We start from the raw sequence: 3,902 nt of genomic DNA on the forward strand, positions 1-3,902 counted from the left end.
ATTCAACTTCTAAATGGTCATTATTTTTAAAAATATGTAACGAGGTATTTTCAATTGTGAAATTTTACAAAGAGTAAAATCCATCCACATCCAACTCTTCAAAATGTGAAGACAAACACGTATGCCAACTAGATATGTCACCTCAAGATGATAATAAAGTGTCATATTTTTAAAAGAAAATAGGACAAATGACATAAAAACATTTTATACAATGAGAACAGTTGATCCCAAACAATTTTAACTGGCAAACTAATTCATATACTTTTGCTTCTGAGTGCTGGAAACTTTATCATAGCATGCGGTCTCTGTGCAGACTGGCATTTAGGATCTATATTTTCCTGTACCCCATAATCGATTGGAGATTTTCTTATTTTGCAGAATCATTCTACACTGGTTAGCTCATCTGTTGTTCGTCATTGAAAGTGAGGTTCTAAATGATAAGAACTCACTTTGAAATGGTGGTGAATTCTCCATATTAGCAAGGTTCTCAAGGGTAACATAAAAACCATGCAAAACATTACCATGTGTTTAATGTTTGTACATAAACTGCTGGTTAATTTCTTGTTTTAATCTGCATAGACATGATAAAAATCTGGTATTTCAATATTTACATTTTTATGTTTCACTTTTACCTAGAAATTTATCAATCCAATCAACATTGTCCAAGAATTAATATAACTAAAGATAAGTGAACATTTACAATCTCAGTCACAGAAGACATATTTCTTGAGCATGCTTTGTGCATGCCACAGTAAAAGAAAAGGTAAAACCATGTAAAACAGGTCACATATAAGAAATGTTGAAACACGAGTTTAGTTCTGTGGTGAAGTATAATAATGATTAGCCTTAACATAGAAATTTATAATAGTAAAGTATTATTCACATTTTGGCCACTTTTTTTGAAAAACAAATGAAATTATTATGGAAATTCAAACAAATTAATGTTTTCTGATAAATTTTAATTTCTATAACATATGTTCAAATAACTGGGATAGATGCTTGAACCAAACCCACTTTTTCGTATAATGTTTCTTATTTATAACATATTTTACAGAGTATAAAGGATTCATGCTGTATAAAATGCCAAATTACATATTATATACATATATATTCTGAGTTTATAAATTTTGTGTTTTGCATGTAGAACATAGGATATACTTCTTGCACCAAATGTCACTAATAAAATACAGCACAAACAAAAAAATGTGTTCTCTTTTAATACATTTAAAGCAGTTGGCATACAATTTAAAAGATGTTTGAAATCACAAATGAGAAAAAGGTGTTAATGAATTCAAATGTAAAATTACTGAGTAAAATTTCATATATTTATTTTTATTTATCTATTAATTGTGCTAAAATAAATCCTAGTTATCCAAATGTTTCCACCATCTCAAAAGCAGTAATTTGAAAATGGTATTAACACATATGCACACATTTCAGTTTTGAACTGGAATTAACATTTGAATATTATTTTCACCAATGATCACACATAGAGTAATGTTTAATTAGAAATAATGAAAAATAATCATTGAAAATTATTAAATAACAAAAAATGGCAGACCAGGACAAATGTCAGAGGACAAGTAAGTCTTAATTCTGCTGCTTTACATTTCAATATTCTCTTATCTCCTTGCAGTCTCTCAGAAATGTTTCATAATTTTATGTCACCAAATTATTTAAGTGTGGCGAAAGAGTGACTGTTACCTTTTCTTCTACCATCCCAAGTGTTGTTACATTGGTTTCATTGGTTTATACATTGATTTTGCTATTTTTGTAGTGCTTTATTTTTTTCCATGGAAAGAAGGGGATTTTTAAATGAAATTTGAGAAATAATAAAAACATTGTTGAAATAAAATTTACTGACTGTTAAATTAAATTGGTTCAGGCACTCAAGAAGCAGATGCTAAGATAGAATTTTTCATGTAAGGATTATGTTGGAGAAAAATACCTGTGAGGGATAAAGGACAGAGGGAGAAGAGAATAGGGCAAATATTGACTCTAAAATCCAGGTCTGACAGCTGAGAAAAAAAGAGAAGAAAGGAGAAGATTTTAAAAGTAGAAAGAGCCTGAGACTGTGGTGCATCTCTGAGAAAATGTTAGCCCGATTGGTAGAGATCAGTAGTTAGGCTGGATTTGGGAAGTGGAAATCCATGCTGTTAGACCAACCCATTCATAGCTTCCATCTTTGTCTAGAGATGCTAGAGAAACTGACCACAGGAGGCTCTCTGATGTGTATGTTCCCCATGAGAGCAGCAAGTCCTTCCCTGAGAAGCAATCTGGGTGTTACATCTTCACATCTACCAAGGATCGTTTCATAGAAGAGGAATTGCTAGTGAAAACCATAGCAGGCTGGGCGCGGTGGCTCACGCCTGTAATCCCAAGCACTTTTGGAGCCCAAGGTGGGCAAATCACAAGGTCAAGAGTTCGAGACCAGCTTGGCAAATATGGTGAAACCCCATCTCTACTAAAAATACAAAAAATTAGCTGGGTGTAGTGGCAGGCACTTGTAATCCCAGCTACTCGGGAGGCTGAGGCAGGAGAATCGCTTGAACACAGGGGGCTGAGGTTGCAGTGAGCCAAGATCTTGCCACTGCATTCCAGCCCTGGCAACAGAATGAGACTCCGAAACAAACAAACAAACATCATAGCAAAGACTGCTAATTCACTAGCAATTCAGCCTCTCATTTACAGACCTCAATGAAGTTCCAACCAGTATATACAGATGCTGGTACAGATTGTAGGGTGTGACTTCAAGTAAAGTACTTTAGAAGCAAAGGCAGGGGTAGATGTGGATCAGTGGACTTGCACATAAAAGTCAAAGTGTCCTCAAGAAAGCTGAGATGAGAGACAAAGGGATAACTAGGTTCCCGGTGAAATCCTGGTATATGTACACCAAATATGGACTGCCTGTCTCCAGACTTCTTATCAGAAAAAAGTCCAGTCCCTACTCGGTTTAAGCACTGTTTTGAGGTCTGTTATTAGAAATAAAATTCAATTACCAATAGATACAAAGAAAATGTACAATTCACATTTTTATAATTATTACTGAAATTCCATTCAAAAAGGCCATTTCAAGTGCAGTCTACCATTGCCACTAAGGAGTTTTTCACCTAACACTTCCCTCAATACTTAACAACATCAACATTTTAAATTTAATCTGATAGTAAAATGCACAGAAGTTTTTAGTTTTCTTTTCCCAATGTTGTTTAAATTATGTTTTCCTGATCAGCACTGAGGCTGAACAGATTTTCATGATTTGATTGGCCATATTATTTTATTAATTGACAGCTCTAATAATTTTTATGAATGGTTTTTATTTTTTAGTCTACATTTAAAAAGTGCTTTTGTGTCATTTATATTCTTATTTTATTATTTGGACCTAAAGTACACGTAGTGAAGTAAACTGCAGTCTCTAATTAATGAGACACTGCATTAGGAGTGCAAGCAAAGGTCTCCCCTTTCTTTTCTCATTTTCTTTGATTTTATATTTTCATTTTATTGTATTCTATTTTTTATGCTATGTTACATTTTATCAGATAAACGTTATTGTCATTTTCACAGCTTTCTCAAATACAGGTTTTGTCACAATTTTTTAAGTTAATATTAAATATGCCAGTATGTAGAGTAAAATTTATTACAAAGAATGAATTTGTATATTTGTATTAGTCTGTTCTCATTCTGCCAATAAAGACATACCTGAGACTGGGTAATTAATAAGGCAATGAGGTTTAATTGACTCAAAGTTAAGCATAACTATGGAGGCATCAAAAAACTTACAATCATGGCAGAAGGGGAAGCAAACACTTGCTTCTTCACATGGCAGCAGGAAAGAGAAGAATGAGCAAAAGGGGGGAAACCCCTTATAAAACAATCAGATCTCACGAGAACTCGCTCACTATCAT

The sequence above is a fragment of the Homo sapiens genome, chromosome 10, assembly GCF_000001405.40.
Source record: "Homo sapiens chromosome 10, GRCh38.p14 Primary Assembly".
NCBI classification, from domain to species: domain Eukaryota; kingdom Metazoa; phylum Chordata; class Mammalia; order Primates; family Hominidae; genus Homo; species Homo sapiens.